Source organism: Homo sapiens, chromosome 7, assembly GCF_000001405.40.
Source record: "Homo sapiens chromosome 7, GRCh38.p14 Primary Assembly".
Lineage (NCBI taxonomy): Eukaryota > Metazoa > Chordata > Mammalia > Primates > Hominidae > Homo > Homo sapiens.
This window is the reverse complement of record NC_000007.14, coordinates 63,396,193-63,423,427: the sequence shown is the minus strand read 5'-3', so window position 1 is coordinate 63,423,427 and position 27,235 is coordinate 63,396,193. Positions and strand designations below refer to the sequence as shown.

At 39.8% G+C, this 27,235-nt stretch overlaps 2 long non-coding RNA genes and 3 pseudogenes across 2 annotated transcripts in view; 3 read left to right on the top strand and 2 right to left on the bottom strand.

The window, feature by feature from the left end:
• Positions 1 to 1,381: 1,381 nt before the first annotated feature.
• Positions 1,382 to 27,235, bottom strand: part of LOC124901641 (uncharacterized) — a 28,360-nt gene continuing 2,506 nt past the window's right edge. The window contains exons 2-4 of the long non-coding RNA XR_007060340.1: positions 21,277 to 21,486; positions 1,905 to 2,204; positions 1,382 to 1,492 (exon numbers count right to left, since the gene is read on the bottom strand). This is a non-coding gene — a long non-coding RNA (uncharacterized LOC124901641). The remainder of the gene's footprint in view (positions 1,493 to 1,904; positions 2,205 to 21,276; positions 21,487 to 27,235) is intronic.
• ARAFP2 (ARAF pseudogene 2) lies at positions 18,030 to 19,050 on the top strand (annotated as a pseudogene).
• VN1R33P (vomeronasal 1 receptor 33 pseudogene) lies at positions 21,157 to 22,049 on the top strand (annotated as a pseudogene).
• Positions 23,840 to 25,397, bottom strand: SLC25A1P2 (solute carrier family 25 member 1 pseudogene 2; annotated as a pseudogene).
• LOC100287834 (uncharacterized) lies at positions 24,387 to 27,088 on the top strand. Its single transcript, NR_028349.1, has 2 exons — positions 24,387 to 24,862; positions 26,913 to 27,088. It is a non-coding gene; the product is annotated as an uncharacterized LOC100287834 (long non-coding RNA).

Below are 27,235 nucleotides of genomic sequence, written 5' to 3'. Positions count from 1 at the left end.
AGGTTTCTTTTTGGAACCTTTGCAGGGTGATGTGTCCTCAGCCACTGTCCTGTTTTTTCCTGGTTCTGAATACTACAACCGTCTGGGGATGACCCAAGATACCCACAAGAGCCATGTCTCTTGGAGTGTCTAGTAAATATCAGTCCTTCTGTCAGCTTCCAGAGGAGAGTCTGAGATATTGGGTGGAGCCTCTCAGAGAAGCAGCTGGATGTCCTCATGCTGAGAGCAGTTTCCTGATATACCATTCCTCTAAAAAGCTAACTGCTTAAACATTAAAAAAATTTTTCCCTCAGACCCAGCTTTTATTCCTCGCAGACATATTGGTGGTCAGCCAATCAGGTGCTGGTATTGAGGGGAAAAGGCGCAAATGCATCTTTCCCTCTTGTTTCTCTCACACTTGTGAAAGGAGAATATCCCTAAGTAGAAGTAAAACCCACCCTATTGAGGTAGTGTATGAACTTGCAAAGCCAAATACACATCAGACACACAGGGAGCAAGTGCATTGTCTTCTGAGAAGGTGGTGATCAAGTTCTTTAGTGAGCAGGATGTGGGGAGGAGATTCTCTCAAGTGATTGATACATGAATCCAATATGTCTGTGTTCCAGTGTGGTGATTCCTCAAGGACCTAGAACTAGAAATCCCATTTGACCCAACAATCCCATTACTGGATATACACCCAAAGGATTATAAATCATGCTACTCTAAAGACACATGCACACGTATGTTTATTGTGGCACTATTCACAATAGCAAAGACTTGAAACCAGACCAAATGTCCATCAATGATAGACTGGATAAAGAAAATGTGGCACATATACACCATGGAGTACTAGGCAGCCATAAAAAAGGGTGAGTTCATGTCCTTTGCAGGGACATGGATGAAGCTGGAAACCATCATTCTCAGCAAACTATCACAAGGACAGAAAACCAAACACCACATGTTCTCACTTACACGTGGGAGTTGAACAATGAGAACACTGGGACACAGGGCAGGGAATATCACACACTGGGGCCTGTCAGGGGGTGGGGGGCTGGGGGAGGGATAGCATTAGGAGAAATACCTAATGTAAATGATGTGTCGATGGGTGCAGCAAACCAACATGGCACATATATACCTATGTAACAAACCTTCATGTTGTGCACATGTACCCTAGAACTTAAAGTATAATAATGAAAAAAAAAATGTCTGTGTTCCAGTCAGCACCGCCTCTCCAGGTGTTCATCACCTTGAATATATTTGTTCAGTTATTTCAACTTCCGCCTTTCATTAACCATATACTGTATTTCATCATTAGAGCTTGAAAGATAAAAAAACACAAATGTTTTCTAAGAGAAAAACAGGTAGATTTGAGAGAAAAAAATCATATTCCATTGGTTAAAAATTCTCAGGTACTGCTTTTATTTTGCAGAGTGAGCGTAGTAAGATTCTGAGTTCTGTTCTGTTTTAGCATGATTTCAGACAGAGTCGCAGGACTTGGTTTTGGGAATGCTACCTTGGAAAAGAAATAGAGAAAATGTCTCTCTCTTTATGCCTGCATAAAAATAAATACATTTCTACAAGAAACTTACAGATTAACACATGAATTACAAACATTCATGAAAACGCCAGTTACACTCTTGTGCAGGGTGGAGAACTTGTGACAGTTGGTAACTCATTTTTTTCTAGATGAATTTCTACTTCATAGGGAATATTTTTATATATATGATAAAGAAGTATTTGCCACTATGCATACACCTCTTTGCTCAGCTAGCATATAACCTAAAGCAATATGATTGTCTAGTACAAGCTTAGCCAGTGAATCAGTAGCATTTTTGTTGAGCTACAATGAATACAACAGTTGCATCTGTAATTTTTTCCAAGGTTATAAAAATATTTTAAGTCATGTGTTCATGGGAACAACTCACCAAGGCAAAAGCATTTTTCCAGTAAAATGCATAAAGCTGTTTTCCTGAAAGCCAGGCAGATAATTAGCAGATTTCCTCCAAATGGAGTCTTCATCTAAAACAGATTGGTGGCCAAGCTTGGGGAAAAGTTTGAGAGAATTTGTCCAGTGCTGGGTTTCTTCGGAGCTGTGTATAAATAGAGGGGTGACCAAATATCCTAAAAGACATTGCCCTTCAACTTAGCAGCACAGGTAGTGGCCAAGAAAACCTAATATGGTTCCTTCCAACAGGTTTGCAGGGTATCTGTTTCTTCATAGAAATCTGGTTTAAAAGAAAAACTCAAATTTTATGATTGTATTTTTGTATGATTAGTATTAAAACTAATTTTAAGAAAAACCTTATAAATAGGTGTATCTAATCTCAATCAACTTTGACAATATAAGACTTCTATAAACCTTTTATAACTCTTTTAACTCTTTTCTCTTTTTTTATTCTCTTTCTCCAACTTTTTATATCCATTTAGTTTATCTCTCTTTTTTATTTTTTGAGACAGAGTCTCACTCTGTCATCCAGAATGGAGTGCAGTGCACCATCTCAGCTCACTGCAACCTCTGCTTCCCGGATTCAAGCGATTCTTCTGCTTCAGCCCCCTGAGTATTTGGGACTACAGGCGTGTGCCACCACGCCCGGCTAATTTTTTTTTTTTTTTTTTTTTTAGTAGAAAAGGGGTTTCACCATAGTGGCCAGGCTGGTCTCAAACTCCTGGCCTCATGATCCACCTGCCTCTGCCTCCAAAAATGCTAGGATTACAGGCATGAGCCACTGTGCCCTGTCGAGTTTATCTCATTTTCTTTGGCTTTTATTCTTTCAATTTTATGCAACCTTTAAATAAACTCTAAACTCACCAAAATTGCCTTTTAAGAAAAAATCACATCCTCATGTCTCCTTTTTAAAATAAATTTTTTCACCAAGAAACACATCTTATTTTCTTTGTACACTCTATGTAGAATTGTTTCTCTTCTTAACAATAGTTTTAGTTATATCTTAACCAGAATTTTAATTCTTAGTAATTTTAACTCATAGTGAAATTCTAAGAAGTAAGCAATTTTAACTATTAGTCATATACTAACAATTTATGAGTACATATTTTATGATTTTTTAGAAACGTAGGATTTTAAATGGAAACATCTTTTTTTTTTTTTTTGAGATGGAGTCTTGCTCTGTTGCCCAGGCTCGAGTGCAGTGGTGCAATCTCGGCTCACTGCAACCTCCACCTCTTGGGCTGAAGTGATTCTCCTACCTCAGCCTCCCGAGTAGCTGGGATCACAGGCGAGTGCCACCATGCCCAACTAATTTTTCGTATTTTTAGTAGAGATGGGGTTTCACCATGTTTGCCAGGCTGGTTTTGAACTCCTGACCTTAAGTGATCTGCCTGCTTTGGCCTCTCAAAGTGCTGGGATTATAGCCGTGAGCCACTGCGCCCAGCAGGAAACATCTTTTAACGTGGAACAGGATGTATTTACTTACAGATCTAAATATCTTTTGTTTTTGTGAAATAAACCTTTAAGAAAACTTTATAAATAGGTGTATCTAATCTCAATCAACTTTGACCATACAAGATAAGATTTCTATAAACCTTTTATAACTCTTTTTCTCTTCTCTTTCTCCAAATTTTTATATCCACTTAGTTTATCTCTCTTTTTTATTTTATTTTTTTTATTTTTAGAGACAGACTCTCACTCTGTCGCCCAGAATGGAGTGCAGTGCGCCATCTCGGCTCACTGCAACCTCCGTCTCCCGGATTATATATATAAATTTGAGATGGAGTCTCACTCTGACACCCAGGATGGAGTGCAGTGGCACTATCTCTGCTCACTGCAACCTCCACCTCCCGGGTTCAAGCGACTTGCCTGCCTCAGCCTCCTGAGCAGCTGGGATTACAGGTTCCCACCACCACACCTGGGCAATTTTTGTATTTTCAGTAGAGACGGGGTTTCACGATGTTGGCTAGGCTGCTCTCGAACTCCTGACCTCAGGTGATCCACCCACCTCGGCCTCATTTAAGTTAATTTGATATCATGTAGATAATATACAAACACGTAGATAGACATATACATACATGTAGACACAAAATATAGCTTACACATGTATGTATCTAAAAGCCCTAGAGATGCAGGAGTTCATTGTAAAAGAGTAGAGCTTCAGACCTGAGAGCAACCTGTCCACCCACAACTCTTGGGGCTCCATGAGGAAAAATAGAGGTACCCTGCCAAAGACGGAGAAGCCTGTGGTGCTTTATCTGTGTTCTTCAAGGGGTCCAAGGCTGCTAGAAGTTTCCTTTAGGTTCTCTCACATGGTACCAAAAGGTCGCAAAAGGAAGATGAGATAGATAGAAGTAAACAGAAGAGTTAATTCTAGAAAAGGCCGTTTGAGAAGATTTAGGTTTCCAAAAAGCCAGTAAAGTTTTACATTATCCTTGGCAAAAATCATGTGAGCAAGAGAAGAGACAGAGGGAGCACACATAGTTAGCATGAGTTTAGGGAAAGAGGAATTGAGTTGACTGAGAAGCTTATATAAAAAAACCCACAGGCCTCAAATTAATATATACATAAATAGCCTGAATATCAGTTATAAGTGGACTTTTGACTGTAGAGCTCTTAAATTTTTTAAAATTAAATTTTAGCCAAGTAAATAGCAAACATTACTTGTTTTTTTCTTTCTAAAGTTTACATCAAGATGAAATTTTGGAGGTGGGACATTTCTGTTTACTGGAGGTCTAGGGTAATTACTATTTAAAGCTGTTTGTCTTCGGAAATTTTTAGTAAATGTTTTCTATCTTCCAAACCACAGTATATGGTTTTATTTATGTCAGGAGAGAAGGTTAAATGAAAAAAACAAAACAAAACATTTCTGTCACACTCTAAATATGAACCAAAATTTTAAATTAAAGGCGTACCTGAACTAGTGACTCAAAACCAACACAAATAAACATGTGTGAGACCAAATCCAAGAAGTCATGCATGGCTTTAACTAAAGCTCCAAAGAGAGCACAAAAAGCGTAGCTTTTCCATGATTAAAACACCTATTAAAAACAGCTTCCTGCAAATGGGGTGCAATCTACATTTTCAGGCCACATATTCTAGTGTCTCAACTTCTCAGTTTACCATCAACCCACAAAGGCCAGTCAGAAGATGGAAAGCAATGGTCGGTAAAACAGAAGAACAAAAAATTTCCATGGGGTAGAAAAGGTTCCAAATGTGTACTCCAAAAGTCCGAGAGTCATACAAATGATAGAAAACAAATAAATTCATCATTATAAATGTTTCTTGCCTAAGCTAGAGGTACTAACCGAGAAATAAAATTTTGAGGGTGAGTCTAAAAACCTTCAATTTTTTTTTCAATTTGATTTCAGCTGCAATGCTGTTTTGCTAATTACCTGGATGTTAACATTTCAAATACGTGGTAAGGTTTACATCTTTGAGGGACTGAGAAAGGCCTGGGAAAGGTTAAAGTATGTGTTGTAAATCCTGCAGCAAAGTCAAGCAGGCAATTTGAGCATGTAAAGGGTTTTCTTGAGGCAGTGAAAGAAGAGCCCTCTGAAAATGTTATGTAGTTATTATACAGTTAATAGTTATTCAACTTGGTCTTTAACTTGTCTGTGGCTGGATGTTGTTTATGGGTTACACTCTAATTCACAGTTTCAGATGTCATTTCACAATGTCTAAAAAATATGACCTATTGAATGTCTACTTTCATGAAGTTACTGACATAATTTTGCATCCAAAATTTTAAAATTTTAAATATTTTTCTATGGAATTTGAAAATAATATGTATGCTCTTTATACTACTTAATAATGCTATCCATTTGTTCATATAATAACTAATCAAACTGTCTTAAATGTTAATGAACACTCTTTATGTTTACTTATTTGTTGTATATAAAAAAAGTTTATTTTTTGACAGTTTAATGTCACCTAATATTATTTTTAATGTTTCAATTTCTCATTTACATGAATGTTTGTGTTGTTTATTTTAGTCTTACAGGTGTTATTTAAACTGTCTGTGCAAATGCCTTGGAATAGTGCGTAACACATCGTGAATTCTATGTACGTGTTCAGGGCTGTTTCATCACATTTTAATCTGTCATACCCTTCTTCATTTACCGTCATTTTGTGTTTGTCCTTATTCAAATTATGTTTGTGCCTTGACTTGACTACATATTCATGGAAGAGAGAAGGTAGACTCAGACTTCCATCCGGATTAAGCACAAAGTTAACTAACATATCTTCTTAGCTCACTTTAGATAGAATATTATATTTGTTTTATAATATAAATATGAATTTTAAGTACTGCATGAAGAATAATCTTCCCCATCTTACAAAAGAAGATCATCAGACATTGGATCATTCATGAATTACCCAAAGCTGTATTCTCTCAACAATTCTTTTTATTCTTACATCTTAACCTCCATGAAAATCTAGAGGCATGAAGTACTAGAAATTAGAAACAAATTTGCAGAAAAGCACAAATTCTCAAAATTAATCCAAGAAGAAAGAGAATATATTAATATACTTATAACAGGTAAAGACATTGACAAGATTCCTTCCCAGAAAAAAGGCTCAGATAGCTTCACTGGTAAATTCTACTAAACATTTAATGAATAATTAATACCAATTCTACACAAACACTTGCAAAATGTAAAAGGGAAAAGAAAACAATTCATTTGTTGAGGCCGGTATTACCCAGTAAACGAAACCACATGAAAGCATAAAAAAAAAAAAATGAGAGACCATTATTCTTCATAAGTATAGACCCAGAATTTTTTTTTTGAGATGGAGTTTTGCTCTTGTTGCCTAGGCTGCAGTGCCATGGCCCCATCTCAGCTCACTGTACCCTCTGCCTCCTGGGTTCAAGTGATTCTCCTGTCAGCCTCCTGAGTAGCTGGGATTACAGGCACCCGTTACTATGCCCGGCTAATGTTTGGTATTTTTTTTAGTAGAGACGGGGTTTCACCATGTTGGCCAGGCTGGTCTCAAACTCCTGACCTCAGGTGATCCGCCTGCCTTGGCCTCCCAAAGTGCTGAGATTACAGGCATGGGCCACCGCACCCAGCCTAGCAGTCTTTAAAAACTCTAGAAAACTGAATTCAGCAACACATAAAATGTTAGACAAAATGACCAAGTGGAATTATCTCACTAATGCAAATATCAGTCAATGTAATATACCATATTAATAGAATAGAGGACAAAACCATAATTATTTCAGTAGACACACAAAAGCATTGGATAAAATCCATTACTCATTAACAATAAAGCCTCCAGAAATCTAGGAATAGAAAAATCTGCTTAACCTCTCCTACAGGGCATCTATAAATCTTTCACACATTCCAGTAAAATATAATAGAGGACATATTGGTATGTCTTACTTTATGGTTTTAAAAATTAACAACGCATAATAAAGATAATGTATTTACCTAGAAAACAAACACTTTTCTAAAAACGTTTCTATTGCATGTGATAAAAGTGGAAATTAAGATAAAAAAGAGTAGTACTGTTGAGAATGACTAGGATTTGGTATCATTAATTTTCTTATTAGCAATTAAAATAGTATCAACAATTCTAACAAGACACAGGTGCATTCTCCCCAGCAAAAAGGCATGATGATCACATAAAATCCTTATGTTATACATAACAGAAAGTATTTTATATTTGAAACATATGGCAACATTGTCATAACTACATTCTACTAAAAATGTTGCACAATACATACTCCAAAAAATTAGAACTTTCCTTGGGGACATATGGTTTTTCTAAAGATAATTGTGTTCATTATTCTGATAAGCAATTCCTCCAAAGGTAAATGTGGCTATCTGGGATTCTGGGAATATCCTGAAAAGTTACATGTTCTAAAAATAGTTCCATTGAAAAAAAACACCATAAAGCCTAGACAATGTAGCAAGTGCTTAACTGCAGAGTTTAGTTCTAAGTGCTAAAGTAAAAAAAAGGGGCTGGGCATGGTGGCTCACACCTGTAATCCAAGCACTTTGGGAGGCTGAGGTGGGCAGATTACTTGAGTTCAGGAGGTCGAAACCAGCCTGGGCAACATGATGAAACCCTGTCTGCCCCTGAAAATACAAAAAAAAAAAAAAAAAAAAATAGCCAGGCGTGGTGGTGGGTGCCTGTAATCCCAGCTACTCAGGAGGCTGAGGCAGGAGAATCGCTTGAACCCGGGAAGTGGAGGTTGCGGTGAGCCGAGATAGTGCAAATGCACTCCAGCCTGGGCAATAGAGTGAGACTCCATCTCAAAAAAATAAAACAAAGAAAGAAGCACAGGCAGCAGAAAGAAGGGAGGATGAGACAGTCCATCTGGCAGGGTGAGGCTTCCTACAATAGGTTGATAATAATAGGGGCATCATTTCTTGGGTTTTTACAGCTCTCAGGGGTAGATGTGGTGCCACACTAGAATCAAAGTAAGGGAGATGAACCTGACCAGCCTAACTAAAGCCAAAGGCCTCAAGGTTCTGCAAATCTAAGAAAAATGAGATAGAATATGAAGCCTGCAGTCAAAGTGAGATAAATAGGGAAGCTAGTCAGTCCGTGCCTTGGCTGATTTGGGAAGGAAGGCCAACTGTACTGATATGTTGGGGTTTGAATTGACCCGGAGTTTTTATAGAGAAAAATTTAATAAGTTAATTTAAATGTTTTCAGATTCATGTAGAGAAGAAAACAAAAATTCCAAGACAATTTTTTTTTTTTGAGGAAAAAACCCTCAACCCAAAAAACTGAAAATCTTATCAGTTCAGGCTTGTCAAGTATAATCACACAACGTAATTTTTTTAAATATGCAAAATAAAGGACACAAAAATTAATTTTGTTCAAAAATAACAACAATCATAAAACACTTGTACCAGTAGACTTCAAGGAATTCCGAGCAGACGTACAGAAAATATGTAAGCTAGGCATGGTGGCGCTTGCCTATAATCCCAGCATTTTGGGAGGCCAAGGCAGTAGAATCACTTGAGGCCAGGAGTTTTAGGCTAGCCTGGTCAACATAGCATAACGTAATTTCTATAAAAATACAAAAATAAAAATATATACATACATAGTTAAAATATTTAGATAAATATAAGGGATATGAGCAAAGTAAAAAATAGGAGCTAAAGTATAAGAAAAAGAATGAGCTAACAATGCCAGGTGCGGTGGCTCACGCCTGTAATCCCAGCACTTTGGAAGGCCGAGGCAAGCAGATCACGAGGTCAGGAGATCGAGACCATCCTGGCTAACACGATGAAATCCCATCTCTCCTACAAACACAAAAAGTTAGCTGGGCGCGGTGGCATGTGCCTGTAATCCCAGCTACTTGGGAGGCTGAGGCAGGAGAATTGCTTGAACCCGGGAGGTGGAGGTTGCAGTGAGCCAACATGGCGCCACTGCACTCAAGCTGGGCAACAGAGCGAGACTCCGTCAAACAGAAAAAAAAAAACATAGATGTCAGGACAAGGAGAAAAATGAGTGGAAAATATGCAAGTCAGAATAAGTTAAAAATGAAATAAGAGTGCTATGTCTAATGGTTTGTTGTTGTTGTTGTTTGGTTTTGGTTTGGTTTGGTTTTTGAGGTGGAGTCTCACTCTGTCGCCCAGGCTGGAGTGCAGTGGCACGATCTCGGCTCACTGCAACGTCCCCCTCCCGGGTTCAAGCGATTCTCCTGCCTCAGCCTCCTGAGTAGCTGGGACTACAGGCGCCGGCCACCACAGCCCAGCTCATTTTTGTATTTTTAGTAGAGACAGGTTTCACCATGTTGGCCAGTCTGGTCTTGAATTCCTGACATCAGGTGATCCACCCGCTTTGGCCTCCGAAAGCGCTAGGATTACAAATGTGAACCACCGCGCCTGGCCTTGTCTAATGATTTTTTGAACAAAATAGAGAAAATATGGCATGCTTAAACATTTTGAAGAACTAATAAAACATCAACCAAGGAAAGTACAAAAAATATCTAAAAACATCATAATAACTAAAAAGCTTAACACCAAAATGATTTAAAATCATTGAAATATAAAATGTGAATCAACTACAAAGCAACAAGAGATTTTTAACCCATATTTGGCATCTTCATAGAATTCACAAATCAATGGATATTATGTTCAAAGTTCTGAGTTAAAATATCTGTCAATTTTGAATTGCATCCCTAGTTAAAAATTTTTTAAGATCAAAGATAAAATGTAAAATAATTCATATAAGTAATACAAACTAAGTTTACTTCAGTTATTTACTTGTTTAATAAACTTATTAATTACATTAGTCATTACATAAATAAAATGCTGCTTCCTATTGTGAAACATATAATTTGTGAAGCATATAATGTTCAAAATTTTGTCTCTAAAACAGGTAACATTTTGAATGAAGAGAACAAAAATTTAATGATTGGTATAAAAATAAATTTCAGGAAAATGAAAGGTTTGCATGATGACATAATTAACATAATAGAAAGGACAGAAATCTCAATATTTGTTTTTACACATTTTGGAGGGAAAGTAACCCTGAGATATTAAAGTGCAGAAAATAATATTAATTATATTCTTGAGTTTTCAAACCCCTCTTTCCTTGGTACTTACAGAACATCCAGCACAGGCCCAGGATTCCCTGGGTGTTTCTGCCAAGGAGACTATCCAGCGGAATTAAAGCGGAAAGCCATGTGCACAAAGATGGATGGATGCTCACCTCTAAGAGATCAGTGGGTGCAGGTTGCAGAGGGAGTTGGGTGAGTGCAGTTTTTAGAGGGAGTTGTGTGGGTGCAGGTTGCAGAGGGAGTTGGCCCTTCTTGGAGGTCCAGGGAGGGGCTACAGGCACCATCCTTGAAGTGGGTCCTGGAACTCCACTGAGCCCTCCTGCCTACAGGGGCCTTAGAGGGTCCTGGGGGAGGCCAGCCTGGGTGCCCTGTCCTGTCCGTGGCCCCTGAGTCCTACCTCACCCGCTAGCTTTTTTTTTTTCTTACAGAGGAATCAGGGTGGCAACCCCAATGCAGCCTTGCTAGAGGAAGGATATCAAAAGTGTCAGGGTGATGGGAATAGCATTAAATCTATGAATTACTTTGGGCAGTGTGGTCATTTTCACGATATTGATTCTTCTTATCCATAAGCATGGAATATTTTTTCCATTTGTTTGTGTCCTCTCTTATTTCCTTGAGCAGTGGTTTGTAGTTCTCCCCGAAGAGGTCCTTCGTGTCCCTTGTGAATTGTATTCCTAGGTGTTTTATTCTCTTTGTAGCAATTGTAAATGGGATTTCATTCATTATTTGGACCTCTGCTTGTCTATTATTGGTGTGTAGGAATGCTTGTGATTTTTGCACATTGATTTCATATCCTGAGACTTTGTTGAAGTTGGTTATCAGCCCAAGGAGTTTTGGGGCTGAGACAATGGGGTTTTCTAAATATACAATCTTGTCGCCCGCAAACAGACAATTTGACTTCCTCTCTTCTTATTCGAATACCCTTTATTTCTTTCTCTTCCCTCACTGCCCTGGCCAGAACTTCCAATACTGTGTTGAATAGGAGTGGTGAAAGAGGGCTTCCTTGTCTTGTGCCAGTTTTCAAAGGGAATGCTTCCAGCTTTTTTGCCCATTCAGTATGATATTGGCTATGCGTTTGTCATAAATAGCTCTCATTATTTTGAAGTATGTTCCCTCAATACCTAGTTTATTCAGGGTTTTTAGCATGAAGGGGTGTTGAATTTTATTGAAGGCCTTTTCTGCATTTATTGAGATAATCATGTGGTTTTTGTGGTTGGTTCTGTTAATGTGATGGATTACATTTATTGATTTGCATATGTTAAACCAGCCTTGCATCTCAGGAATGAAGCTGACTTGATCGTGGTGGATAAGCTTTTTAATGTGCCACTGGATTTGGTCTGCCAGTATTTTATTGAGGATTTTTGCATCAATGTTCATCAGGGATATTGGCCTGAAATTTTCTTTGTTTGTTGTGTCTCTGCCAGGTTTTGGAATCAGGATGACACTGGCTTGATAAAATGAGTTAGGGAGGAGTCCTTCTTTTTCTGTTGTTTGGAATAGTTTCAGAAGGAATGGTACTAGCTCCTCTTTGTACCTCTGGTAGAATTCGACTCTGAATTGGTCTGGTCCTGCCTGGGCTTTTTTTTTTTTTTTTTGGTTGGTAGGCTATTAATTACTCCCTCAATTTCAGAACTTGTTATTAGTCTATTTAGAGATTCAACTTCTTCCGTGTTTAGTCTCGGGAGGATGTATGTGTCCAGGAATTTATCCATTTCTTCTAGATTTTCTAGCTTATTTTCGTAAAAATATTTATAGTATTCTCTGATGGTAGTTCATATTTCTGTGGGATCAGTGTTGATATCCCATTTATCACTTTTTATTGTGTCTCTTTGATTCTTCTCTCTTTTCCTTTTTATTAGTCTAGCTAGTGGTCTACCTATTTTGTTAATCTTTTCAAAAAACCAGCTCCTGGATTCATTGATTTTTTTAAGGCTTTTTTCATGTCTCTATCTCCTTTAGTTCTGCTCTGATCTTAGTTATTTCTTATCTTTTGCTAGCTTTTGAATTTGTTTGCTCTTGCTTCTCTAATGCTTCTAATTGTGATATTAGGGCATTGATTTTAGATCTTTCCTGCTTTCTGATGTGAGCATTTAGTGCTATAAATTTCCCTCTTAACACTGCTTTAGCTAGGTCCTAGAGATTTTGGCACATTGTGTCTTTGTTCTCTTTGGTTTCAAAGAACTTCTTTATCTCTGCCTTAATTTTTTTTATTTACCCAGTCGTCATTCAGGAGCAGATTGTTCAGTTTCCATGTAGTTTTGTAGTTTTGAGTGAGTTTCTTAATCCTGAGTTCTAATTTGATTGCACTGTGGTCTGAGAGACTGTTTGTTATGATTTCATTCTTTTTGCATTTGCTGAGGAATGTTTTACTTCCAATTATGTGGTCAATTTTAGAATAAGTGCTATGTGGTGCTGAGAAATATGTATATTCTGTTGATTTGGGGTGGGGAGTTATATAGATGTCTATTTGGTCTGCTTGGTCCAGAGCTGAGTTCAAGTCTTGAATATCCTTGTTAGTTTTCAGTCTCATTGCTCTGTCTAATATTGACAGTGGGGTGTTAAAGTCTCCTACTATTATTGTGTGGGAGTCTAATTCTCTCTGTAGGTCTCTAAGAACTTGTTTTATGAATCTGGGTGCTCCTGTATTGGGTGCATATATATTTAGGATAGTTAGTTCTTCTTGTTGCGTTGATCCCTTTACCACCACATAATGCCCTTCTTTGTCTTTTTTGGTCTTTGTTGGTTTAAAGTCTGTTTTATCAGAGACTAGGATTGCAACCCCTGCTTTTTTGTGTGTGTTCCATTTGGTTGGTAAATATTCTTCCATCCCTTTATTTTGAGCCTATGTGTGTCTTTGGATATAAAATGGGTGTCCTGAATACAGCACAGTGATGAGTCTTGACTCTTTGTCCAATTTGCCAGTCCATGTCTTTTAATTGGGGGCATTTAACCCATTTACATTTAAAGTTAATATTGTTATGCGTGAATTTGATCCTGGCATCATGATGCTAGCTGGTTATTTCACACATTAGTTGATGCAGTTCCTCATAGTGTCGCTGGTCTTTACATTTTGGTGTGTTTTTGCAGTGGCTGGTACCAGTTTTTTCCTTTCCATATTTAGTGCTTCCTTCAGAAGCTCTCGTAAGGCAGGCCTGGTGGTGACAAAATCCCTCAGCATTTGCTTGTCTGGAAAGGATTTTATTTCTTCTTCACTAATTAAGCTTAGTTAGGCTGGATATGAAATTCTGGGTTGAAAATTATTTTCTTTAAGAATGTTGAATATTGGCCCCCACTCTCTTCTGGCTTGTAGGGTTTCTGCAGAGAGATCCACTGTTAGTCTGACAGGCTTCTCTTTGCAGGTAATCTGACCTTTCTCTCTGGCTGCCCTTAACTTTTTTTCCTTTGTTTCAACCTTGGATAATCTGATGATTATGTGTCTTGGGGTTGCTCTTCTCGAGGAGTATCTTAGTGGTGTTCTCTGTATTTCCTGAATTTGAATGTTGGCCTGTCTTGCTAGGTTGGGGAAGTTCTCCTGCATAACATCCTGAAGTGTGTTTTCCAACTTGGTTCCATTCTCCCCATCAATGTCAGGTACACCAATCAATTGTACGTTTGGTCTTTTCACATAGTCCTATATTTCTTGGAGGCTTTGTTCCTTTTCATTCTTTTTTCTCTAATCTTGTCTCCCTACCTTATTTCAGTAAGTTGATCTTCAATCTCTGATATCCTTTCTTCCACTTGATCAATTTGGCTATTGATACTTGTGTATGCTTCACAAAGTTTTCATGCTGTGTTATTCAGCTCCATCTGGTCATTTATGTTATTCTCTAAGCTGGTGACTCTATAATAACTGTTGGTTATTACAGCAGTTCCTGTAGCCTCTTATCAAGGTTCCTAGCTTCCTTGCATTGGGTTAGAACATAGTCTTTTAGCTCAGAAGAGTTTTGTTATTACCCAACTTCTGAAGCCTACTTCTGTCAATTCATCAAACTCATTCTCCTTTCAGTTTTGTGCCCTTGCTGGAGAGGAGTTGTGATCATTTAGAGGAGAAGAGGCATCCTGGTTTTTGGAATTTTCAGTATTGTTACACTGGTTTTTCCTCATTTTGTGGATTTAGTTACCTTTGATCTTTGAGGCTGATGACCTTTGGCTTGGGTTTTTGCGTGGGGGTCCTTTTTGTTGATTTTGATGTTGTTGCTTTCTGTTTGTGAGTTTTTCTTCTAACAGTCAGGCCCCTCTTCTGCAGGTCTGCTGCAGTTTGCTGGAGGTCCACTCCAGACCCTGTTTGCCTGGGTGTCACCAGCAGAGGCTGCAGAACAGCAAAGATTGCTGCCTGCTCCTTCTTCTGGAAGCTTCGTCCCAGAGGGGGCACTGGCCTGATGCCAGCTGGGGCTCTCCTCTATGAGGTGTCTGTTGACTCCTGCTGGGAGGTCTCTCCCAGTCAGGAGGCATGGGGATCCGGGACCCACTTGAGGAGGCAGTCTAAGAGCTCGAGCGCTGTGCTGGGAGAATCCTCCTTTTCAGGATCTGCTGCTGTCTTCAGAGCCAGCAAGCAGAAATGTTTAAGTCCACTGAGGCTGTGCCCACAGCTGCCCCTTCCCCCAAGTGCTCTGTCCCAGGGAGATGGGAGTTTTATCTATAACCCCCTGACTGGGGCTGCTGCCTTTCTTTCAGAGATTCCCTGCCCAGTGAGGAGGAATCTAGAATGGCAGTCTGGCCACAACCGCTTTGCTGCACTCTGTTGAGTTCTGCTCAGTCCAAACTTTCCAGCCTCTTTAGCACTGTCAGAGAAAAACTGACTACTGAAGCCTCAGTAATGGTGGACACCCCTTCCCTTACCAAGCTCAATCATCCCAGGTTGACTTCAGACTGCTGTGCTGGCAGTGAGAATTTCGAGCCGGTGGTTCTTAGCTTGGTGGCCTCCATGGGAGTGGGACCCGCTTATCGAGACCACTTGGCGCCCTGGATTCAGTCCTCTTTCCAGGGGAGTGAACAGTTCTGTCTCGCTGGGGTTCCAGGTGCTACTGGAGTATGAAGAAAAAATTCCTGCAGCTATCTCGGTGTCTGCCCAAACAGCTGCCCAGTTTTGTGCTTGAAACCCAGGCCCCTGTTTGTATAGGCACACAAGGGAATCTCCTGCTCTGTGGATTGCAAAAACTGTGGGAAAAGCATAGTATCTGGACCGGATAGCACAGTGTCTCACCACTTCCCTTGGCTGGAGGAGGGAGTTCCCTGGCTCCTTGCACTTCCCGGGTGAGGTGATGCCCCAACCTGCTTCTGCTCGCCCTCCGTGGGCTGCATCCACTGCCTAACCAGTCCTAATGAGATGAACTGGATACCTCAGTTGGAAATGCAGAAATCACCCGCTTTCTGCATTGGTCTTGCTGGGAGCTGCAGACTGGAGCTGTTCCAAGCAACCCCACTTTCTCTCTTTTTGCTCCTCAAAGTCACTAAGGTCTTAAGAGCTAACACTGAAGATCAACTTTGTATTTGTATACATGTTTTATTACAGAAAATTTAAAACATATACAAAATAAAACAGTATAATACAACTGTTACCCAGGCTCAACAACCTGTGCCAAGTTTGTTTTATCCATACTTCAATGCATTTTCTTCCCAGACTTTATTATTATTTTTTTCTGAAATAAGATGTGTGCTAATTGAAGGTAAAATCTTGGCTGAGCACAATGGCTTAAGCCTGTGTAATTCCATCCTTTTGGAATGACAAGACAGGAGGCTCACTTGAGCGTCAGAGTTTAAGAGCAGCCTGGGCAACATAGTGAGACCACATGGCTACTAAAAATAAAAAAAAAAAAAAAATGAGGCATGATGGTGCATGCCTGTATTCCTAGCTACTTGGGATGCTGACATAGCAGGATCCCTTGAGTCTGGCAGGGTGAGGCTTTAGTGAGATGTGATTGGGCAGCTACACACAAGCCTGGGTGACAGTGAGACTGTCTCAAAAAAAAAAAAAAAGAAAGGTTTACTCTTAACTGTACCTTTTTAAACATCAGTACACATATATAAACAATTTTTCTTTTAAGAATAGAAGTACCCAAGTTAATAATCATTAACGTGAACCCATTTGTTACTCAGACTTTATCTTTTAATTAGTTTTTCTTTTTTAAAATAAGATGTGAGCTCATTGAAAGGACCAATCTTGGCCAGGCATAGTGGCTTGCATTTGTAATTCCATCCCTTTGGGAAGCCAGAGCTCACGAGTTTGAGACCAGCCTGAGCAACGTAACAAGACCTCACTGGGGCAACGTAGTGAGACATCATCTCTACAAACATTTTTTAAAAATTACTTGGGCATGATGGTGCACACTTGTAGTCCCAGCTATTTGGGATGCTGACATGGGAGGATCGCTCGAGCCTGGGAGGTCAAGGCTGCAGTGAGCTGTAATTGCACCACTACACTCCACCCTGAGTGACAGATTGAGACGCTGAGAAAAAAAGGTACAATCTTAACTGTACCTGTTTGACACATCAATACATCCATATAAACAATCCCTTTCGTAAAAATAAAAGTACCCCACTTAACAATATTGATATGCATGGGAATTACCTATACATTTTTTATTTCTTTTAGTTTGGATTTTTATTGAAAGGAAACACCTAGAAACATTACGTAAAATCTAGATTTTGAAAAAAATAGACCTGAACTTGGTTTGAGAATTTCAAAATAGACATGAGTTTTGTCTGAGAATTTGTCTTTCTAACAACATACAGATCTTACAGCACATGGTAGATACAAGGACTCTTTTATCTAAAATAAATAAAATTTGACGAATAAACATTTTAAAATTTGACCTGTGGCTAAAGGATGAATCAAAACACCTGTGCAATGGGTTATCTGTAGAAGTATATTTTAATGACAAACTATTAATAACCAAAAAAGTTATAATAATTTATTAACTAACATGAGCAAAATTCCTATTATGGTATCTATGAAAATGCTTTCTTAGAGTAAAATATTCTCTTATCTTGCAAGGGCACTGGTTAATAACAGCAAAGATTTGGAGGTCAATGTCTCATAAAGTAAGTAGCAGACCCCTTTCACACCCATAGCTGGCCTTCAGAGTTATCGAAAAAATGGTCATTTACACAAGAGCAGATAATTTTCTTAGGTTCTATTAAGTTTATATGTTAATGTTGTTACAAAATTTAACTCAGTTTTCTCATAAGATTATCTGACAAAATTTTATATGTTATAATATCACAATATATTATGTAATATCATGTAATATAATAAAATTTTGTCAGATACGGTGTCATATATATAATTTGTTATTTCATAAAACATATACAAAAAAACAAAATTTTATGTTATGATATCACAATGTATTATACCATATATTATATATGATTATATATCATGTATTATATTATGATATCACAATGTATTATGATATATATCGTATGTATAATACATGATATTATATCACAATATATTATGACATCATTATATATTATGTCTGACATATATTATGTCACAGTATATTATATTATATAATATATTATATTATATTATATTATATTATATTATATTATATTATGTTGCATTATATATTATATTATATAGTCCAGCTAATTGACATGGCCCAGCAGACTGCCCAGGGCATGAACTACCTCCATGCCAAGAATATCATCCAAGGCGATCTCAAGTCTAATAACATTTTTCAACACAAAGATGAGTGACTCTCGTCTGGCCACAGTGAAGACAGAGTGAAGCAGGGCCCAGCCCTTGGAGAAGCCTTCAGGTTCTGTTTTGTGGATCGCAGCTGACCTGAACCCCTTCAGCTTCCAGTCGGACGTCTATGCCAGTGTGGCTGTGCTCTAAAATCTCACGACTGGCTCACTGCCTTACAGCCACATTGGCAGCTGTGACCAGATTATCTTTATGGTGGGCTGTGACTCTTCATCCCTGGACCTCAGAAAAATCTCCAGCAACTGCCCGAAGCCATGTGGTGCCTGCTGTCTGACTGCCTCATGTTCCAGCAAAAGGAGTGGCTCCATTTGCCCCAGACTCTCACCACAATTTTTCTGCTGCAAGGGTCGCTCCCCAAGATGGAGGGGAATACCTCTAAATCGTCCTTTTATCAAACCCAAGCTGATGAGTTTCCTTCCTGACTACTCAACACAGGCTGTCTTGAGCCTGACCTTACTCCCAGCCACTAGGGAGCCAATCTGAGCCCGCCATGCCAAGGAGCCCTGCCCACCAACGAATCAATGTTTTATCTCTGTCCTGAAGTTGCATCAGGATCTCATATCCCCCACCCTGTTAGATGAGGGGGTCCTGATGTGCTTTCCCAGTTCCTCTAAAATTGGAAAACTCTTAAAGATTGAGCCCCTGCCCCCCTCCATCATTTTATTTTTTGGCTTAGAAGATACCTCTAAATTGGGGGAACTCCTTCATCTCTCATGGCTAAAATTTGTAGCAGGGATTTCACTCAGAACCTCTATGGGATTTGTGCCTGATGTGACTTCCACTGGACTTTGGGGTTCTCAACACATCATGTATTTTGGGGGTTCCCTTTTTGTCCTCTCCTCCATTCAAGGACTACTGTCTTACTTCATTAAAATACAGAGAATTTTGCTGAAAAAAAATAAAGTGTTTCAAATAAAACCTTCCCAACCTTTGCCTCTGGGGAAAACATAATTTTATTAAATTATTTATGTATGTATTTGACCTCTGCTCTAAAAAGAGACACTACTCACTTCACACAAGGCTGTTAGTTATTTAAAAACATCCTTGAAAAGATTGTCCAAATGGAAGCTTATATAAGATGTAAAACAAATTAACCAACAGGTCTATAAAAATTGGCTCCCAACAGAGTACAACATACACTTAAAAATACAGAAATATTGGTACAACCATTACAGAAACACTGTGAAGCTTTCTCAAATAATTAAAATAGAATTGCCATATTATCCAGCAATTTCACTTCCAGATATATAACCAAAGAAAATAAAATTAGTATCTAAAAGAGACACCTGCCCTTCTGTATTCATAGCAGAATTATTTACAATGACAGAGACATGCAAACAATCTAGGTATCCATTAATAGATGAACGGGTAAAGAAATTATGGAATATTTATATAATGGAATATTATTCAGCCATAAAAAAGAGAATTCTGCCATTTGCTACAATACGAATGAACCTAGAGGACATTAGGTTAAATGAAATAAGCTAGACACAGAATGACAAATACTGTTTGATTTCACTCATATATGAAGCCAAAAATGTCAAAGTCATAGAAACAGAGAGTCCACAGTGGTTGCTAGGGGGTGGTGGCTGGCAGAAATGAAGACACGGTGATCAAAACTTTTAGATATAAAATAAACAAGTTCCGGTGATTTAGTGCACAGCATGGATGTTCACGAATGTTGTCTTAGGCTATCCCTATTTCTGTAATAAAATACTTTAGAACAGGTAATTTATATAGAGTCTAAACTTACTTCTCACAGTTACAGAGGCTGAGAAGTCCAAGACCAGGGCACTAGCAGATACACATAATATAGTACCTGCTAATTACATTAATTTGATAATTGCACCATATATATGTATGTAGGTAGGTATTGGAGCTTCACATTTTAACCTTATATTCATTTTATGAAAACGTTGCTCCTGTACAACTTTATTCTGTCTTTCCCTCCTAGTTTGGGTACTAATGTTTAAATCTACATATGTTACAAACACAACAGTTTGTAGTTATCTGCTTACATAATTTTATTTTTTTAAATAAGCTGAAATAAGAAAAAAGAGCACTTGTGTATTTACAGGTTTGTTTTGTTAAACTTCTTATTATTCATTATGTTATTGTAATCCTTCACTTTTTCTGACGTACTTTTTTAAATCTTTGTAGATACAAGTTATTATCTGGAAAGATTTTCTTAGCCCAATATATCTTTTCTTGAACCCACTTTCTCTGTGCTGTAATTGGCAAATAAATTAAATTTCTTTATGTTATAGCACTGAAGATCCCATTACAAACAATATTACACAGTTGCTTTTGACAATCAGATAATATGAGAAAAAAATTTCTTATATTGCCTTAAATATTTGTTACATTTACTAGTCCTCTTTGTCTTTTGGGGGCATTAAAATTATCTGGGATTACTTGCATTCAGCCTGAAAACTTATTTTTATTCTTTCTCAAATGATCTGTCTGCTATCAAAAAATTGCCTCAGCTTTTATTTACCTGAAATGTCTTTTTTATTTATTTTTAATTGATAGTTTTTCTGAGGATAAAATTTTTAGTGGACATTTTTTCATCTTTGAGCATTGAAATATGTATATATTCTTAGAAGTTGAAAAGCTTTTAAGAAGAAAAAAAGTTTTGATCTGAGAATGTTCAGTGATTTGAGGAATTCAGAAGGGAAGGAAATGCTTTCTGATGAGTGAGCCACAAGTACTCTATGAGTATAGATAATGTGCACCCTACATGGGTGTGATTGTGGATGTATGGAAGTTTCAGATACGTATAACTTATTTGTTGTAAGATAAAATGCTTAGGCTACATTTTAAAGAATTTATATGAGATAGTCCAGGTTAATCAGGATAAATGGGTAAAATTAAAATGATAATATTGGTAATAATTTTGACCGTGCAATAAATAATACTGATGATAGGATATCTATTGCTTTTTCAGATATATAAAATATGATCCCTCTTCACCATTAAGACGACCATAGTCCACTTATGACACTATTAAAAATTGCCCTTTTTTCCCAAGCTGGTATTGGACTCACAGCCAACACCTTCCTCCTTTTCTTCTGTATCTGCACACTCCCTCTGGACTGCAGGCCTAAGCCCACTGACCTCATCACCTGTCACCTGGCCCTTGTCCACTTAGTGATGCTCCTCACTGTGAGCTTCTTGGCATCTCTGGACCTCTTTGAGTCACAGTATTTTCAGAATGACTTCAAGTGTAAGGTATTCTTCTACATGCATAGAGGGATGAGGGCTCTCCATCTGCACCACCTGCCTCCGGAGTGTGCTCCAGGCTGTCACCATTACCCCCGGCACCTCCTGGTTGGCAAGAATTAAACAGAAATTCACACATTGCATCTTTCACTTCTTGGGGTTCTCAGTTTCTTTCTCAGTAGTAACCTGCCTTCCTCCACTGTGGCCTCTTCTAATGTGACCGACAGCAATGTGCCAAGTATCAGTAAATACTGTTCACTTTCTTACATAAGCTACATCATCAGGAGTCTGTCTTTCATGCTGCCACTACTTGCAGATGTCTTCTTTGTAGCAGTCATGTTGCTCTCAAGGGCATACATGGTAATTCTTTTGTCCAGGCATCAGAGACAACCCCAGTACCTTCCCAGCACCAACCTGTCTGCAAAAGCCTCCCCAGAGAAAAGGGCCACCTAGACCATTCCGATGCTGGTGAGTTGCTTTGTGCTCATGTATTGGGTGGGCCTCATCATCTCATCCTCCTCAACCCTGTTATGGGCTTATGACTCATTCATCATGGGTGTCCAGATGCTTATGGGCAATTTCTATCTGTTAGCCCTTTTATGCTAATTAGTTCTGATAATAGAATAATCAAAATTTTGCATAATGTGTTATATAAATATCATAGATGATAATAAATTATGAAAATAATTATCTGAAAAACAGATTTGGACATCAAATAATTCAAGAAGCAGGTGATTTTATATATTATTTTATTACACTTTTATTTCATCTAAATACTTTTGAAAACTATGCTGCCAAGAACTTGGTGGTTTCTTTAAAGTCCACCGTCATAGTCCCCTGTGTCCACAAGTTTCTTATATTTAATTTTGATCCCTTAAGTTTTATATAAGACAACTTTTCTATCTTCTTGAAGTGTACACTTAAGATGCTCCTGTTGGTAGATAAAATTTCTCTTTGTGTGTGTGTGTGTGTTTTACTTCTGAAGGTTATTTAGTTTACCCTTATTTATTAAATATATGCTAGCTATGTATTCAGTTACTGGTTGAACAATAATTTTTCAGCACTCTTAATATTTCCTTCTCAGTTTTCTGGCTCTGCCTGGGCTGTGGAGATTTCACTCTCACATGTGTAGATTCTCTCTCTCTCTCTCATGGCTTTGAAGTTTCTTCATTCTCTTTGGTGTTATGCAGTTTGACTTATGGTGTTGGATATCTTTCTTTATTGCTTTTTCTTTTTTTAATTTGGTGACGGAATCTTGCTCTGTCACCCAGGCTGGAGTCTTGGCTCGCTGCAACCTCCGCCTCTCGGGTTCAAGGGATTCTCCTGCCTCAACCTCCGGAGTAGCTGGGATCACAGGCAGCTGACACCATGCCCGGCTAAGTTTTTTGTATTTTTTTGTATTTTTAGTAGACACGGGGTTTCACCTGGTTGGCCAGGTTGGTCTTCAACTCCTGACCTCAAGTGACCCGCCCTCCTTGGCCTCGCAAAGTGCTGTGATTACAGATGTGAGCCACTACACCCAGCCTCTTTATTGCTTGCTTTCAGGCACAGTGTCTCTTTTAGGCACATGTCTGGTTTTTACTTTTAGAAATTTGTAAATAATTATTTATTAGTATGACTTATTATTTGTATGAATTCAAGTGAAATAATTGTGCTTTATTCTTTGTCATTCTATTCTTCACATATGTATAATTACATTCATATTACTATTATTTTGTTTCTCTTTCTTTTATTTGGTTATATTCGTTCTGCTCAAAATTTCAGTTCATTAATCCAGTTCACTAATTCTCTCATCAACGTAGTCTAATTTTATAATTAACTCACATATCGTATATTAAATTTCTTTATGTTTAAATTATTCCATTTCTATTTGACTCTTTTCCAAATTTCCTCATTCAGTTTATAGTTTCCTGCTCTTTCAAAAATTATTTGGATATCATCTTTTCCTCAATTGTTTTTACCTAAACATTTAAAATATTTAAATTTAATATTTTATATTAATATGTACAAATATAAATATATTTATAATACTTTTAAAATTTAAAATATTACAAATATATTTCCAGTATGCAAAGTTTATGTGATATCAAATTTCTTCCAACCGGGCCAGGCACAGTGGCTCATGCCTGTATTGGGAGGGAGAGGCAATCCCATCACTTGAGGCCAGGAGTTCCAGACCAGCCTGGTGAACATGGTGAAACCCCATCTCTACTAAAAACACAAAAATTAGCTGGGCATGGTGAGGCATGCCTGTAACCCCAGCTACTCGGGAGGCTGAGGCAGGAGAATCACTTGAACCCGGAAGGCGGAGGTTGCATTGAGCCTAGATCCGGCCACTGCACTCCAGCCTGTATAACAGAGCAAGACTCTGTCTCAAAAAGAAAAATCTTCTAACCCTTTTTCCTCGTAGCTTATTTTCTTCTGTGCTTCATACTTTTTATTTATTTTTTATTTTTTACAATAGGATCCGGTTTATTCTGCCTTGGCAGGGTGATCCTGAGAGTGGTGGGTGTCACCCTCTCCTGGGCAGAGGGAGGGGCCGTGGGCCAGTCAAGCCAATGGTAGGAGAAGCGCTGGTGAGGGGTGGAATTTGGGGTTCAGGGGTGTAACCCCAAGAATGCAGTGAAACCAGGCCGAGGCCCAGAGGCAGCTGTGGTAGGCCAGGGCAGGGTGGAAGGCAGTGGACTGGGCCCGGGCCGGGATGACAGGGCCAAGGACTCAGGCCACACTGGCACCCCGGGAGGCGGGGCGCAGTGTCGCATGACGTAGAAAATGAATCACAGGCCCAGGGCTCACAATAAGCACATGGACAAGTGGGCACAGACTCACAGGCCAGATGGACCTCCAGCCACGGCCGGGCCAGACTCGTGGACACAGGCGCAGTGTCACGTACACACCACGGGGAGACATGGCACTAGGGGACAAATGGACGTGACACCACAATGCACAGGGCAGGCCACAGAGCTCGAGGGACGTGGGCAGGGGCCTTTTGGCATTTCTGCGCTGGAATCATGTGAGACAAGGGTGGTGGCCGCTCTGGAGGTGCCTGGGGGGTTCCCTCATTACCCCTCTGGGCTTAGTCCATCCTCCACACTGTTGTGCAGCTTCTCCACCTCCTGGTAGAGGATAAATACTGTTACCCTTATCCCTGGTCACATCCAGGGAGACGCGTCCAGCGGCCAGGCGGGGACAGTGCCGTTCTAGAGGTCCTTGAGCCCCTCCTTCCTCAGGATCTGCAGCCATAGGCCGGTGTGTTCCGCGTTTGTGCTGCTCCAGGCCCCGCATCCGGTCTCGATCCCATCCAGAGGAGCGTTTCCCAAGACACTGGCTGCGCCCACAATGGCTCCGAAGACCCCAGCGACCAGCGGGTCCATGGGCTTGCTGGGGTTGTCCCCTCGGTACCAGCTGTGCAGGGAGGTCAGGAGGAGAAGCAGACGGCCTGGTTCCAGCCCTGCTTTAGCGTGGGTGCCATGAGGCCCCGGTGAGTCCCCTTGTTCTCGCACAATCTCTCTAACCTGGTGGGAGACTCCTCTGCACTGGAGGTCTGGGAAGGTCTGGCCGTGGATGAACTTCACCTTGATGGTGTCCATGGAACATACGACCACCATGGCCTCGGCCACGCCAGCGCCCTGGCCGCACCGCAGCCAGCGCTGCCGTCAGGCCGTCCCTGGGCATCCCGCGTCTGGCTGCTGTGGAACTGGAACATTCAGAACCCAACGCCGCCCTGGAGACAAGAGCCGCAGAGCAGGGAGCCGAGGCCGCGGTGCCGGCCCGGGACGCCATGACCGCGACAGTGCGCACGCGGGATCCATGCGCGGTGCCCGGCTGGTGCCAGCGCTCGTCCGGCTGCAGCTACGACCTCCCGCGCTCCGTGGGGAGCGGACGCCCATTTCAATGCCGCCGGCCAGGCCGCCTGCTGGTGTCGCCTTCCCCGGAGCCTCCGCTGGGCCTTCCCGGACGCGGCGCGGCGTGGCCACGGCGGGCGGGAGGCGGGCGCCCGCTGTGATCTGAAGTCCCAGCCTCCTAAACTCCGCACTGGGACCTTAATTTGGTTTTAACACAAATGAAGATCTCACTAAAGATAAAAAGGGATGTCTTGGCTTCTAATTTTTGTTAAAAGCAATAGCATATGTTGTATAGGATAGTGCATTGGGGTAAATCTTTTTTTTATTATTTTTATTTTTTCATCAGCCCACTGACATTGAAAGGGGATAGGTTTTAGGTTATTGACGAGCAGTTTTCTCTCAGATAACTGCCTTAGTATAGGGGTTTGTGGTCATGTTGATGAGAGGGTAGGCTGGGGTTAAAAGTCGTTATGGCAGTAACAACCTTCTGAGGACCAGGAAATTCAAATCCCTCTCATGATACTTTGCTAATATCTCCCGAGTTTGCTGTGCCTTCCCTTTGTGCCTCTTCCCACACGTGGTTTCTTGCACTTGGCCCAGCTATATTCCACTGTTTTGACTCCATGCTTCTTAGCCTGGTGGCAGTGGTGAGGGAGTGAGGAGATCTCTAATGTTCTGAGGAAGCCTCAGACTTAGCACTGTGAACTGGGGTGTGGGGTTACTGACCGTTGAAGAGTTTCCTGCCCATCCTGTACATGCAATGCCAGGACAAGAGCACATTCCTGTCCCTCCTTGTCCATGGTAGGGGAAACGTGCTCCTTCTCCATGCTCTTAACTCCCAGTTGAAGTGGGCCTTGAACAGTGCCCTGTAAATTAATGGTTTCTTTTCTTTATGGGAGATGCATCTGTGCAGAAATGCGGGTGTTGGCCTTGTTCCTTCACCCTCAGTTCCATGAGCTTTTCCCCAGTGCCCTTTGGCTCAGGTTTGGATGCTCTTTCTCTGCAGATTAGGCCTCATGTTATATAGGAGAGATGTGAGGGCTGTGTCTCCAGAGTTGCAGTAGTGGATGGGATAGTGGTCCCTCCCCATCAGCACTGTGGGGTAAGCATCCTCAGGATTCTAACCCCATCTTCCCTGACAGGCCTTGTAGGGTTCCTAGAAAAATTATACACAACGGTATAAACCCTACGTCTGTAGACTCCAGGGTTTCTCATTCTCCTCACCCACCCACACACAGCCACCAGGAACTAGTTCAAAAGTTCTGGCTTAATTTTACCAGTTTACATGGTCTTCAGGGTACACATAAAAGCCTGGAGCCTGTGTGACCTGCAGGCTTTCTGCATCCCCTGATGTTGGGTTTGTAGTCTGCCCTGTGACCTCAGTTCTTTAAAGGGCTCAGGAGAAACCATCCATTCATTTGAAGTTTCTCCAGCATTTTTGTTTGTTTGTTTAATGTGTAGGAGCAACTCTTTGTCAGGTCTCTATATCTACAAACTTAACTCAGAAACTAATATTTTTAAATATATTTCTTTTCTATCATACTTTTAGTGCTCCTCTACCTATGCTAATTGTTCTTCAGTATTTTTTATATTTGTATGTCTTTATCTATTTTAAAATCAGGTTTAATTCCTTCTTAATCAAATTAATAACTTTTCATTTATTTCCCTACGTAACTTTCTTTTCAGACGTTTAAAGTATTGCTGTGTGTTTCAAGTGGAGGAGGTCATATTACAACTGACATTTGTCCTTGACTACTGGACATATCACACCAGCCCTGATTGCAGTTATACTTGAAGCCAGATCTACCCTTAACGTATATTCATTTTACTATTCAATAAATATTAACTTATCATGAATGGTATATATTGTTACAGTTGTAGGTTTATGGACCTGAATAGACAATAAAATAAATAAAACCCAAATTACATGGCTTCAGGGGGGGTATAACTTTTTATTAAGTTTTTAGTTAAAACATTTTTGCCTTTCTGTGATTTGCAACTTTGAGTGA